This window comes from Homo sapiens, chromosome 2 (genome assembly GCF_000001405.40).
Source record: "Homo sapiens chromosome 2, GRCh38.p14 Primary Assembly".
Lineage (NCBI taxonomy): Eukaryota > Metazoa > Chordata > Mammalia > Primates > Hominidae > Homo > Homo sapiens.
This window is the reverse complement of record NC_000002.12, coordinates 197509131-197523965: the sequence shown is the minus strand read 5'-3', so window position 1 is coordinate 197523965 and position 14835 is coordinate 197509131. Positions and strand designations below refer to the sequence as shown.

At 42.2% G+C, this 14835-nt stretch overlaps 2 protein-coding genes across 5 annotated transcripts in view, besides 1 other annotated feature; both read right to left on the bottom strand.

The window, feature by feature from the left end:
* Positions 1–8412, bottom strand: part of MOB4 (MOB family member 4, phocein) — a 38146-nt gene extending 29734 nt beyond the window's left edge. The window contains exons 1-2 of one of the 4 annotated variants that reach the window (NM_199482.4): positions 8282–8412; positions 280–342 (exon numbers count right to left, since the gene is read on the bottom strand). In NM_199482.4, the coding sequence (NP_955776.1) occupies positions 280–306 (27 nt within the window). In that variant the 5' untranslated portion in view covers positions 307–342; positions 8282–8412. Of the gene's footprint in view, positions 1–279; positions 343–7610; positions 7669–7819; positions 7901–8281 lie in introns of those variants that run through there. The other 3 variants (NM_015387.5, NM_001204094.1, NM_001100819.3) reach the window with 3 other exon arrangements.
* Positions 1–14835, bottom strand: part of HSPE1-MOB4 (HSPE1-MOB4 readthrough) — a 53321-nt gene that overhangs the window by 29734 nt on the left and 8752 nt on the right. Inside the window, exon 3 of the mRNA NM_001202485.2 lies at positions 280–342. Within this exon, the coding sequence (NP_001189414.1) occupies positions 280–342 (63 nt within the window). The remainder of the gene's footprint in view (positions 1–279; positions 343–14835) is intronic.
* Positions 7842–8061: a silencer, noted in NCBI's record as "silent region_12215". NCBI's record gives its function as "represses an Ori minimal core promoter by ATAC-STARR-seq in GM12878 lymphoblastoid cells {active_cell/tissue: GM12878}" and the evidence as "EXISTENCE:reporter gene assay evidence [ECO:0000049][PMID:35858748]".

The following is a 14835-nucleotide window of genomic DNA, read 5'->3' as shown; positions in this document are numbered from 1 at the left end:
AAAACAAAATGAGGGTTGACTAAACTTTTAAATAGGCATTCCATTAATTCAGTGGAATCTTCTCTATGCGAAAAGATATAAGAATACTTAACTATGTCAGAGGTAAAATGCTTAGGTTATTGGAGTTGTAAAAGGAACTATTTTGTTTTGTTTTGTGAAAGAGCACGCTTTATTGGGAAGCAGACTGCTGCACAGTGACCAACAGACAAAGGCCACCCAATGGGCACTTACACATCGTACTCCAAAAGACACAGGGTGAAAAGAAACTATTTTTATTACCTGTTGAACAGCTAGTGTACTGTCCATTTCATCAAAGGATTCATCAGGCCAATTATAGAAATCCTATAAAAATAAATTCACGGTTAAAGCACATACAAAATACTATTATGATTAACTTCAATTCTTAATAAAGACCCAAAGCTCACACTAGAGGGGAAGAAAAAACTTTTGCAATGTAATTATCAGTGAAATAAGGAAATAAATTTTATTCAACTTTTCTTTTTTACAGACAGGGTCTCACTCTGCAGCCCATGCTTGTGTGCAGTGGCACAATCATAGCTCACTACAGCCTCAAACTCCTGGGTGTAAGCAATCATCCCACCTCAGCCTCTCACCTTAGCCACCCTATTCTTAGGATTATAGTCCTGACCCACTGCGCCTGGCTGTTTAATGTTTTTTAAATGAATATTAAGATTTTATTTAATTGAACTATAAATTACGTTTTTTCCAATCACAGATTCCTCAAATACAGCTCCCATAAACCTTTAATGTATTACTTAATTGGGGAGACAAGTCTATCACTTTTTTATGATGGTTAAATATCTCTCAAAAAGTTACAATGAAAAAAAAACTCCAGACACCAAAAAGTAAATCAGATTTTTACCAAAAGAGAATATCTAGCATTAGTAGCTAATTTACTGCTCCATAATTATTATTATTAATATTATTATTATTATTTTGAGACCACTCTGTCGCCAGGCTGGAGTGCAGTGGTGCGATCTCAGCTCACTGCAACCTCCACCTCCTGGGTTCAAGTGATTCTCCTGCCTCAGCCTCCCGAGTAGCTGGGACTACAGGCACGCACCACCACACCCAGCTAATTTTTGTATTTTTTGTAGAGACAGGGTTTCACCATGTTGGCCAGGATGGTCTCAATCTCTTGATCTCGTGATCCGCCTACTTCAGACTCCCAAAGTGCTGGGATTACAGGCGTGAGCCACCATGATCGACCCATAAGTATTATTTTAAAAAGAAATTATAAATTATTATTCTCATTCCAAATAGAGTTTTGAATTTCTAAATCAAAATATGGGCACCATTAAAAAGTAATCATCAGACTGGGCATGGTGGCTTACACCAGTAACCCTACCACTTTGGGAGGCCGAGGCGGAAGGATCACTTGAGGTCAGGAGTTCGAGACCAGCCTGGCCAACATGATGAAACCCCGTCTCTACTAAAAATACAAAAAATAGCCGGGCATGGTGGCGTGCGCCTGTAATCCCAGCTACTCAGGAGGCTGAGGCAGGAGAATTGCTTGAACCCAGGAGGCGGAAGCTGTGGTGACTCAAGATCACGCCACTGCACTCCAGCCTGGGTGACAGAGCAAGACTCCATCTCAAAAAAAAAAAAAAAAAAAAAAAAAGGTAATCACCCATGGGTACAAAAAAAATAGAAAGAATGAATAAGACCTAGTATTTGCTAGCACAATAGGGTGACTATAGTAAAAACCAATTTAATTGTACATTTAAAAAAAACTAAAAGAATCTAATTTTTTGCAACATAAAGGACAAATGTGTTGCAGGAAGTCAGGGACCCCAAACTGAGGGACCGGCTGAAACCACGGCAGAAGAATGTGGATTGTGAAGATTTCATGGACATTTATTAGTTCTCCAAATTAATACTTTTATAATTTCCTATGCCTGTCTTTACTGCAGTCTCTAAACACAAATTGTGAAGATTTCATGGACACTTATCACTTCCCCAATCAATACCTTGTGATTTCCTAGGCCTGTCTTTAATCTCTTAATCCTGTCAGCTGAGGAGGAGGTATGTCACCTCAGGACCCTGTGATAATTGTGTTAACTGCACAAACTGTAGAGCATGTGTGTTTGAACAATATGAAATCTGGGCACCTTGGAAAAAGAACAGGATAACAGCAATTGTTCAGGGAATAAGAGAGATAACCTTAAACTCTGACCACTGGTGAGCCGGGCGGAACAGAGCCATATTTCTCTTCTTTCAAAAGCAAATGGGAGAAATATCGCTGAATTCTTTTTCTCAGCAAGGAACATCCCTGGGAAAGAGAATACACGCCTGGGGGTGGGTCTATAGACGGCCCCCTTGGGTATGGCCGTCTTCTATGGTCGAAACTGTAGGGGTGAAATAAACCCCAGTCTCCCATAGTGCTCCCAGGCTTATTAGGAAGAGGAAATTCCCACCTAATAAATTTTGGTCAGACCGGTTGCTCTCAAAACCCTGTCTCCTGATAAGATGTTATCAATGACAATGGTGCCCGAAACTTCATTAGCAATTTTAATTTTGCTCTGGTCCTGTGGTCCTGTGATCTCGCCCTGCCTCCATTTCCCTTGTGATATTCTATTACCTTGTGAAGTACGTGATCTTTGTGACCCACACCCTATTTGTACACTCCCTCCCCTTTTGAAAGTCCCTAATAAAAACTTGCCGGTTTTGCAGCTTGTGGGGCATCACGGTACCCACCGACATGTGATGTCTCCCCCGGACGCCCAACTTTAAAATTTCTCTCTTTTGTACTCTGTCCCTTCATTTCTCAAACTGGCTGATGCTTAGGGAAAATAGAAAAGAACCTACGTGACTATCGGGGCAGGTTCCCCGATACAAATGTTTATGGTGATGGATACCCCATTTACCCCCCTGATGTGATTATTATACACTGCATGCTTGTATCAAAATATCTCATGTAACCTACAAATATATACACCTACTATATACCCACAAAAATTTTAAAAAGAGAAGGAAACATCAAATAAACCAGCTTTCTGTTAAAGGGAATATTTTTATTTCTTCTTCTTTTTTTTTTTTTTTTTTTTTTTTAAGAGACGAGGTCTCACTTTGTTGGCCAGGTTGGTCTCAAACTCCTGGTCACAAACAATCCTCCAGCCTCAGCCTCCCAAAGTGCTGGCATTACAAGCATGAGCCACCATGCCCAGCTTAAGGGGGATATTTTTATAGAGCATCTTGCCCTGGTTCTGGAATTCTCTGTAGATAATACAGTTAACAGATATTCCCCTAAGTGATTAAGAACCTTTCCATTTGACTGATTTTTCAGAAAAGTTTACCTATGTAACCTCAGTGGGTAGCACAATGCCTGACACATCTTTGAAGCTCAAATGTCTCTGAGGTAAAACTTGGTGGGGAGGAGGTAAGAGTAAACCAATAATCTATAAACCTGTATATAAACCTGTAAAAACAATCAACAAAGATTAAGTCTTCAAAACCTTGAGCAAAAAAAGCAAATTAGAAGTAAACACAGTGTATATAAAATGAATAAAGTTTAGGCCGGGCGCGGTGGCTCACGCTCAGCACTTTGGGAGGCCGAGGCAGGCGGATCATGAGGTCAGCAGATCGAGACCATCCTGGCTAACACGGTGAAACCCCATCTCTATGAAAAAATACAAAAAATTAGCCAGGCGTGGTGGTGGGCGCAAACCCAGGAAGCGGAGTTTGCAGTGAGCCGAGAGTGCAGCACTGCACTCCAGCCTGGGAGACAGAGCGAGATTCTGTCTCAAAAAAAAAAAAAAAAGTTTAAGTGCAAGGCATACTTATGGATATAATGCATATATAGTAAAAGTATACAGAAAAGAAAAGGAATGATAGGGTAGAAGACAGAGAATGTCTTCCATAAGGATTCAACTATAGTAGCAATGTCCCCGTTTGGACAGTAGGTAATGAGTACACCTTTTTAAGTGTCTTAAACATTTCATCTTTTTTGAAATAGCTGGCCTATCTGGATGAAAATGAACTAATTTTATTAAAGGAAAATATCAAGAAATAAAACAATCTTCTAGAAATGGTTCCAGGATTCCTTTTCTTAGACATTATCTATTAAAGAGCAATTCTAAAATTTTTCCTATATGATCTAAAGTTTCTACCAATACTCTGTCTATTCTTTCCTTTTTAAAAAAACTAAGGAAGTTTACAGAATGTTGTTTTTAAAATATTAGAAAACACATGTACAGTTGGCCCTCCATATCTGCAGGTTTAATCTGCAGATTCAATCAACCAGGAATTGAAAATATTCATTTCAGGGGAGAAAAAAAATACAGAAAATGTTATATTGTTGCTGACATGTACTATGTACCTAGTTAGGTCTAAGATAGTTGCGTATGTACTAAACATGTACCGGCTTTCTTTTTGGTCATTATTCCCTAAATACAGTATAACAACTATTTACAGAACACGCATTGCATTAGGTATTATTAAGTAATCTAGAGTTGATTTAAACTATATAACAGAATGTGCATAGGTTATATGCAAACACTATGCCATTTTACTTAAGAAACTTAAGCATCCTCAGATTTTGGTATGGGGTGGGGGTACGGAGTTATCCTGGAGCCAATCCCCAGAGGACACCAATGATGACTATATATAGAAAAGATGTTGAGAATGAAATGTTTCGCCTTCTCATAACTGTGACATATTTTAGATGCCTATGAGAGACACCAAAAATTCAGCTTAATAAAGATTCTCATCTAATTCAACCAACAAACATTTATTGAAAACCAACTATGAAGCCCAGCGTGGTGGCTTGCGCCTGTAATCCCAGCACTTTGGGAGGCTGAGGCGGGAAGATCACTTGAGGTCAGGAGTTCGAGACCAACCTGGCTAACACGCTGAAACCCCATCTCTACTAAAAATACAAAAAAAATTGGCTGGGCGCAGTGGCTCATGCCTGTAATCCCAGCACTTTCAGAGGCCGAGACGGGCGGATCACGAGATCAGGAGATCCAGACCATCCTGGCTAACACAGTGAAACCCCATCTCTACTAAAAATACAAAAAAAAATTAGTCAGACGTGGTGGTTAGCGCCTGTAGTCCCAGCTACTCGGGAGGCCGAGGCAGAAGAACAGCGTGAACCCGGGACGTGGAACTTGCAGTGAGCCAAGATCGTGCCACTGCACTCCAGGCTGGGCGACAGAGTGAGACTCTTGTCTCAAAAAATAAAATAAAATAAATAAAAATAAAAATAAAAATAAAATTAGCCGGGCGTGGTGGCAGGCACCTGCAATCCCAGCTACTCAGGAGGCTGAGGCAGGAGAATCACTTGAACTTGGGAGGCAGCGACTGCAGTGAGCTGCGATCGTGCCACTGCACTCTAGCCTGGGCGACAGAACGAGACTCTGCCTCACACACAAAAAAAAAAAACCTCCAGGTGCAATGGCTCACGCCTGTAATCCCACCATTTTGGGAGGCCCAGGCGGGCAGATCACCTGAGGTCAGGAGTTCGAGACCAGCCTGGTTAACATGGTGAAACCCAGTTTCTGCAAAAAATTAGCTGGGCGTGGTGGCACGCGCCTGTAATCCCAGCTACTCGGGAGGCTGAGGCAGAAGAATCGCTTGAACTCGGGAGGTGGAGGTTGCAGTGAGCCGAGATCGCACCATTGCACTCCAGCTTGGGGGCAACAAGAGAGAAACTCTGTCTCAAGAAAAAAACAAAAAAAAGAAAGAAAGAAAGAAAAAGAAAAAAGAAAACCAACTATGTGCCTATATTCCAGTCTAACCAACTTTTTTTTTAATGTAGGAAGATACTCCACCTACTCTCCTATAGTTTTTTGTTTGTTTGTTTGAGACCGAGTTTTGCTCTTGTTACCCAGGCTGGAGTGCAATGGCGCGATTCCGGCTCACTGCAACCTCCGCCTCCCGGGTTCAAGCGATTCTCCTGCCTCAGCCTACCGAGTGGCTGGGATTACAGGCGCCCGCCACCACGCCCAGCTAATTTTTTGTATTTTTAGTAGAGACGGGGTTTCACCGTGTTGGCCAGGCTGGTCTTGAACTCCTGAACTCAGATGATCCGCCTGCCTCCACCTCCCAAAGTGCTGGGATTACAGGCGTGAGCCACCGCACCCAGCCCTCTATTATAGTTTTTAATTTTTTTTCTTTTGACCCAATAGGGAAGGAGATACGGTTCTAAATATATCATTTTAGAACAGATCCATTTCACTAAACGAAATTCATGTGATAAACAAGATAGGACAAACTACGGCGTAAGCAGTCTTTTTCATTTTTTATCCTTTTTCTGTTATATTTTATCTAACAACCTTGATCCATGACAATGTGAAAAAAAAAGACAATAAGTTTTCTTCTATGTGACTTACAGCAACATAGCAAGTATGTTACGATATTAAATATTTTATTTTCTAACCTTTCAAAATTAAGAACTTATGAATAAATGAGATGACTCTCAGAATATGAACAGAAAAGTCTACTTCTGAACATAAAAATGTAATCAGAAACAATGTTTCCACAGAATAAGATGTAAAGGTATCTGAGAAAAGAGCATGAGGAAGAAAAGTGTGGAAACGGTAAAAAGCAAGCATATGTAACGGATAAATTTCCAGTAGTATGAAAACAAAACTGTCAGTAGGAATAACTGACAGCTTAATGTGACTCCAAAATAAGACTTTAAAATTTTCTCTGAAATTCAGCACTAGAAGCAGCTTGTTAAAGAGAACAGGTCACCAGTGAATTAAGAATCAGGAGACTATGTATCCTTGGGCAAATCCACTTAATTCTCTTGGGCTTCAGTTTCCTTATCTGTAACATGAATCTGGGGAGGTAATCAATACCTGTATGCCCCCTTCGAAAGGTGTTCTTTCCATAATTCTGTATAAGAAATTAAAATCTATTCTCAGACATACAATCATAGCTCCACGATTGTTTTGTTTCAATTTTCATTTGCATCACTTTTTAACATTTTATAAACACATCTCTTCCGATTTCAGAGCATCTAGTCTATAGCAAGCCATTTCGGCTAGCAATTAATCAGTTCAAGTCTGGATGCCAATTTTATTTATTTATTTTTAATGTGAGGCATCCCATCTTTTCCAAACCCTAAGAAACAATGCCTAATCAAGCACCAATTTACCACACATAATGCCCTACAAAAAAGCTGACAAAATTATAATCAGTTCATTCTCTGACTATGCTTCACGCATATTAGCAAGGAATGACATCTAACAAGTCACAACTTAGTGATGAAAACTTGCTGGACCAGAGAACAGCTCCAGGGAAAGCGGCAGGGAGAGGTGGTCAAAGGGAAACAAGGAGGAGAATATCGGCACCCGGATCCGGCTAGACAAGCTGGATGGCAGGAAACGGGTAGGTACTTCCCAGGCCAGGTAGGAACTGGACGCCGGGTCGAGGTAGGCTGTGTTTACACCCCCTCCCACCTCAGCGGCCCCGACCTTCAGGAAACCCCGGGGGTCTCCACCAGGCTGGTCGCGCCCCTCCAATGCTAGTCAGCTGGGGCTCAGGGGCAAGGCGAGAAGAAGCCGTTGCTGCTGACAGGCTCGCAGCCCAGGGCTTCGGCAGGCAGGTACCACCAGCAGACCCCACCCGCCCCTCACGCCTACCCCTGGGTCGGAGCTCCGCAGGCCTCACGGCGGCCGCCACCGCCTCAGCCAAATTGAGGGGCTGCAGCTCCGGAAGAGCAGGCCGGGCACCAGTGCCCCAGCCCGCCCGCCTGCCGCCTCGGCCCAACCTCCCCGCAGTGGCGGCCAGCTTCCGGGCGCAGCACTGCTCGGCACCTAGTTGCCCGACAAGAAAAGTGCAGACATGGTACCTGCGCCTTGGTGCCCGGCCTGTTCCGCCTCAGCACTGCCGTCCCCTCCGCCATGACCATAGTGCCAGCGTCTAGGCGGCTGGAGTCGGTACCCGGATGTAGGGACGGCAGCCTGCGCGGGGGGCGGGGCAGAGCGGCGCTCTGCGTCTGGGAGGAGGAGCGGCAGCTGACGGAACAGCTGCAGCCTGCGCCGGGAGCCGTCCGGGTAGAAGCGGGCTAGGCGGAGGGAGAGGGCGAACGAGGAACAGCCGGACGGCGTCGGGTGGCTACTGGCAGGGACTGAGGCACCGGAAGGCGGGCGCCACGAGCCTCTTTGCGAGGGCTGCGGGGCGGTTTGAAAGGTCGTGATCGCAGCGACCGCTGCGGCAGTGTGCACGGCTGCGTTGCACGTTGGTATGGGCTCTCGTTAGTTACACGGGAAGAACGAACTTCGTATAGTGGCGACCGTTTCAGTAAACCCACCTGCAAGCAAATACTTAGAGAACCGTAATTCTGTCCCAGAAGCCACCTAAGGAATCAGGGTAGAAAACAGGCCAGCAGTCTTGGCAAATTCTATAGAACCTGCGTGAAATCGACCCAATCTGAAATCAGACGGGGGATTTGAGTGTCAGTGTTATTTACGCCATCCGGCGACTTCAAAGCCAAGGACTTTTTCAATGACAAGTTTGTTTACGTAGATAAAAGACGCAGATGTCAATTATGTGAGATGAAGAGTGGACATCTGGTTTTGTGCGTTAGGCAGACAGATTTAGCTCGTGTTTTTCAAGTCAGAAGCAGGAGGAGGAAATTAGTAGTCCTTGACAGGTGGTGAGGGTTTTACATCTTACAGGATTCCACATTTCCTTTGTTGCAAATTTTAAGTGTTCTCTCTTAAGAAACCACAGCATTTTCGCAAACTTTTTTTCCTGCTTAGAAACCTTGAATCTTTTATCTGGGGTGAGGGAGGCCTTGGGATAGCAGATGGGAAGACAGTTCAAAAAGTAAAAAACGCATACAGTAGCATGATTTCCAAAAGAAGAAAACATCAAGTGTCCCTAGATAGAAGGTGTATTGAGAATGCTGAGGGAAGGGCCATGTAACAGCTTCCAGAAATGGAATTTGAGAGGAGAGGAGAGGTTGAGTGGGTCTCTAGCTGAGTAATTGTCAGTGACTTAGAACTAGGCATTGAAGGGTTTAACAACAGGAAGTTGGTTCTCTCTGGAAGATGTATTGACTGGTAACTCTTCAAGAATAGGGACTTAATTTTGCCCTCCCAGAACCAGCGTCTACATATGAAAAGATTATTCGTTCAACAGATACTCATTAAGCCCCACTATATGGTAGGCACTAATGTACAAGTATGATAAGGCTCAGTCCTTCACTACAAATTGCCTTGACTCCAGCAACAGAGACGTGCAAATCACAAATTCTTATACAGGTTAAGTACCCCTCATCTTAAAGTTTGGGACCAAAACACTTTCAGATTTCTGATTATTTTGGATTTTAGAATATTTGCATATACATAATGAGATTTCTTGGGGATGGAACCTAAGTTTAAATGTGAAATGCATTTGTTTCCTATACACCTTACACACATAGCCTGAAGTTACTTTTATACAATACTTTAAATAGGCCGGGAGCGGTGGCTCACACCTGTAATCCCAGCACTTTGGGAGGCTGAGGGGGGCAGATCACTTGAGGTCAGGAGTTCCAGACCAGCCTGGCCAACATGGTGAAATCCCATCACTACTAAAAATACAAAAATTAGCCAGGCGTGGCGGCAGGCGCCTATAAAACTTCAAATAATTTTGTGCGTGAAACAAAGTTTTGACTGCAACCGGTCACAGAAGGTCAGGTATGGAATTTTCCACCTGTGGCATCATGTGGATGTTCAAAGTTTCAGATTTGGGAGCATTTCAGATTCTGGACTTTTCAGATTATGGATGCTCAACTTGTATTAAATGCAACGAGAGCCTAGGACAAGTGACACGTAAATGTTGCCTCCCTTAGAGAGATGGGTTGGGTCTATGAGATAGCAGAGTCCCAGGGAGGCCTCTTGGTCTATAGATAACTCGCCTCACTTACTGCAAGGATTACGTTTACATTTCCCAGATTGTGTGATATTTCCCTGAGCTGTAAATAGTCACCTATAGTTGAATGGAATCATCTTCACTTTCTCTTAATTCCAGATTTGTTAAACTGTTTCAACCCATCTGAAACCAACAAAAAACGTGAATGAGTAGGTGTTAAATTCGGGAACAAAATGCACATTCGTTGTTTTTGAAAAGTCCAATAAAGTTGCATTCTGATGTCAACCCTGGCCTTGTTCATAGGAAGGACCTTGTTCTTTAGGGATAGAATGTTTCTAGCTCATAACCTTCACATTTTCATTCCTCTGTCAGCCTGTAGATTACGTACCTCCAAACAAGACAAATTTTATAACTAGGGTTAATTTGTCCGGGGTAGGAGGAGAGAGAAAAGAAAAACAAAAAGCATGATCAACAATAACAGTTACATGAAATACTTGAATATTTCAGGTAAAGGAGGAGTGGAGTGATCTGTTTAAAGGCAATATGCACCAGTAGGAATAGCTCTGGACTGGGATTCGGAAAATCTAGATTCTCTTGCCTGTTAACTGTTAAGACATTGAACAAGCTATCAAATAAATGTTTCTTCATGTGTAATGAAGATTGTGCATAGCAGTTCTTTCCCTCTGCCCCATAAAGTATGAAAGCAAGCATAAAATTAAATATGGAACCTTGAAGCTTTAGAAGAAAATATTTTATAAAGCCAAAGTATCATAAGTAATTTCAAATTATCCATGAGCTTCAAATCATTGACACATTAAAAAAAATTATCCAATAAAAATTCACTTTGGGGAATTTTTAAATCCAAATAAAAGAGTTAATGCAGGCCATGTGCGGTGGCTCAAGCCTGTAATCCCAGCACTTTGGGAGGCCGAGGTGGGCGGATCACGAGGTCAGGGGTTTGAGTCCAATGTGCCCAACATGGTGAAACCCCCGTCTTTTCTAAAAAAAAAAAAAATACAAAAATTAGCTGGGCACAGTGGTGTGCGCCTATAGTCCCAGCTACTCAGGAGACTGAGGCAGGAGAATCACTTGAACCCGGGAAGCGGAGATTGCAGTCAGCCGAGATTGAGCCACTGCACTCCAGTCTGGGCAACAGAGTGAGACTCCATCTCCAAAAAAAAAAAAAAAAAAGAGTTAATGCATATTATGTGCAAGGCACTGGGCTAAGTGCTGAAAAACATGAAGATATATAAGACAAGCTTTCCTCAAAGAGCCTTGAAATTAATGGGAAAGCATCTTATGTAGATTACTACAGTACAAGGCTGAACGCCTTAAGTATTGAAGCAGCCCCTTTCACATGCTCTTTGCAAACAGCCTCTGATCTTGCTCAGTGTTCTTCTCTCATGCTATGACCAGGGAAAGGTAAACCCATATCTAGCTGAGGGATAAATTCCTGTTGGCCTAAGTGTGAAAGGGCCAGCCTCTGTGGTTCACACCTGTAATTCCAGCACTTTGGGAGCCTGAGGTGAGAAGATTGCTTGAGCCCAGGAGTTCAAGACCTGCCTGGGAAACATAGTATAACCCCCCCCACATACACCCCCATCTCTACAAAAAAATACAAAAATTAGCTGGGCATGGTGGCACACACCTGTAGTCCCAGCTACTCAGGAGGCTGAGATGGGAGGATTGCTTGACGCTGGGAGTTCAAGGCTGCAGTGAGCCATGATTGCACCACTGCACTCCAGCCTGTGTGACAGAGTGAGATCCTGTCTCAAAAAAAAATAAAACAAAGAAAAGAAATGTGAAACGATGTAATGAAGCACTTTGGAGAAAGATTTACTTGCTCTTCAGAAGATACCAAAAGAGATGCTCTCTTTTTTCTGCCAATGGACATCACCCAATATGGGCCTGCAGCAGCCATTCTGGCTTAAAGGAAGCCAGTCTAAAAGCAAAGTTGGCACACTGTGAATGATGTATGTAGTTGTCATGTGTCTTAAAGTGTGGATAGCATTTATGTGCAGAGCTACAGGAGATTTCATTACAAGCCGAGCAAAGTTGAGGCAGCAGGGAAGCATGGGAATGTATATTCACAGTTGAACAAGTCAGTGCCTATGTATGGTTTCATACATCTTCAACGTATTATTTGAACATTATTCTCTGTCTGTTTTTTTGTTTTTTTTTTTTCTTGAGACAGAGTCTCACTCTATCGCCAGGTTGGAGTGCAGTGGCGTGATCTTAGCTCACTGCAACCTCCACCTCCCGGGTTCAAGCAATTCCCCTGCCTCAGCCTCCAGAGTAGCTGGGACTACAGGCGTGCACCATTATATTTTAGTAGAGACGGGGTTTCACCACGTTGGCCAGGATGGTCTCGATTTCCTGACCTTGTGATCCACCCGCCTCGGCCTCCCAAGTGTTGGGATTACAGGCGTGAGCCACCACGCCCAGCTTTTTTTTTTTTTTTTTAAGAGATTGTCTCACTTTGTTGCCCAGGCTGGTCTCAAACGTCTGGCCTCAAAGGATCCTCCTGCCTTGGCCTCTCAAAATGCTGGTATTACAGGTGTGAGACACTGGGCTTCACCCTTTTTCTTCCCCTTTGAGACAGTGTCTTATGCTCTCACCCAGGCTGGAGTGTAGTGGCATGATCACCACTCACTACAGCCTCAACCTCCTAGGCTCAAGTGATCCTCACTTCAGCCTCCTAAAGTGCTGGGATTACAGGTGTGAGCCACTGTGCCCAGTCTGTCTTTATTTTCTTGATAACACCAATCTGTATCTAAAATCATGCTATTAATTTAGTTGTTTACTGTGTGCTTCCCCGATCTTATTCATCCCTGTATATCCAGTGCCTAGAACAGTGCCTAGCCCATATTCAAAAAATGCGTGACTTAAAAATACTATAATAAACTAGCCTTTTGAACTGACATTCAAGCCAGGTAAGTAAATAACCATTGATGTTTTTCCAAGTCATGTCTTCAGGCTAAATGAGACTGAAAGGGCATTTCGCAAGCGAAATTTTAAGTGTCTTAAAGACTTAGGCTTAATCTATAAGATGGTAGGGGAATTTTAAACATTTCTTATATCTTTTAACAGGAAAATCTACAGATGGAGCCAAAATCAAAATCTGTTGTTTTTTTTTTAAAGAAAAACCCAAACTATAAAAATACCTAAAGAAACCGTGGAAGAAACTTTAAGTTTTGGAGAAGACTTTTCAGAGTTTAACGTCATACCCAGAAGGCATAAAGAAAAACATTTAATAATTCAAATACACCAAAATGACTTTCTACAAGTGCAAGGCATAAACAAAATCAAAACCCAAATGACAAACTAGAGGGAAAAAAAACACAAAGAACTAGTTTCTTTAATAAATAGAAGTCATAAAAGATCAAGCACTCAGTCAAAAAATAGGCAGAAGATATTAAGTGAATAGGAATAACCAGTTAACAAGGGTAAGCAAGGTGGCTCATGCCTGTAATCTCAGCACTTTGAGAGGCTGAGGTGGGCAGATCACTTGAGTCCAGGAGTTCAAGACCACGCTGAGCAACATGGCAAAACCCTGTCTCTACAAATATTAGCTGGGCGTGGTAGCATGCATCTGTAGTCCCGGCTGCTCGGTAGGCTGAGGTGAGAGGATCACCTGAGCCCAGGATGTCAAGGCTGCAGTGAGCCTCTGATGGTGCCACTGCACTCTAGCCTGGGCGACAGACAAGAACCTGTCTCAAAAAAAAAAAGAGTCTTAAACACATACAATGCTCATCCTCATTCATCATGATAAAGAGTAAAATTATCAGATTGGCAAAATAAGAACTTTATAACATCCTGCATTACAGAGAGTAAGAAGAAAAAAAATACATTGCTAGTAGGACTGTTAATTCATGGACCTTTTGGCTGGGCGCAGTGACTCATGCCTGTAGTCCCAGCACTTTGGAGGCGGGTGGATCACCTGAGATCAGGAGTTTGAGACCAGCCTGGTCAACATGGTGAAACCTCATCTTTACTAAAAATACAAAAATTAGCCAGGCGTGGTGGCGAGCACCTGTAATCCCAGCTACTCAGGAGGCTGAGATAGGAGAATCACTTGAACTTGGGAGGTGGAGGTTGCAGTGAGCCAAGATCGTGCCACTGCACTCCAGCCTGGGCAATAAGACTGAAACTCTGTGTCAATAAATAAATAAATAAATAAATAAATAAATAAAACTGATGGGAGTTCAATGAAGGACAACTTGGAGATCCATGTCTGTATCTGCGTACATGCATGATTAAAATTCACAGACCCTTTGACGTAGCAGTTCTATAGGAATTTATCTTATAGATATGCTTGTTCAAATGTACATATTTAGTTATGCATACATTTATTCATTGCAGAAGTGTTTCTAATAGAAAAAGGTTAGAATAACTTAAATATCTATCATTGCTGGGGGTGCATCCTGAAATAAATTATGGCTTATCCATATAATTGAACATTATACAGTCTTAAAGTGTCTTTATCTATAGATTAATCCCAGAGACCAATTGTTAATGTAAAAAAGCAAGGTGTCAAATGTTATGTATGGAATATTATTTTTTGAAAAAGAAAAAATGAATATATATTTTATATACATAAGATATGTACATATATAGTACACATTTACATATATGTGTATATACATAAAACACCTTAAAGGAAGAATACAAAAATTATACTAGTTACTTCCAAGGATGGGACTGGGTGGCTGGGGGACAAGGATAGAGAGCATTCTTTTCAGTGTCTATAATTTTAAATTTTTACATGAACATATTATTTATTTTTAAATAAATAAAAGTTTAACAACAAAATAACAGGCTTGACTCAAAACGTTAAGAGGCAAATCTAATGCCCTTGTTTTGCAGTTCATTCATAAGCTAAGAGGGGTTAGGTAATTTGTCAAATGTAGCAGAACTAGTATGTAAGCAACACAGGACAAGAGCTGGGATTGATTGGGCTCTCTCATAGAGGTTGCTTGAGAGTAAAGGAAAATATACTTAAGCTGG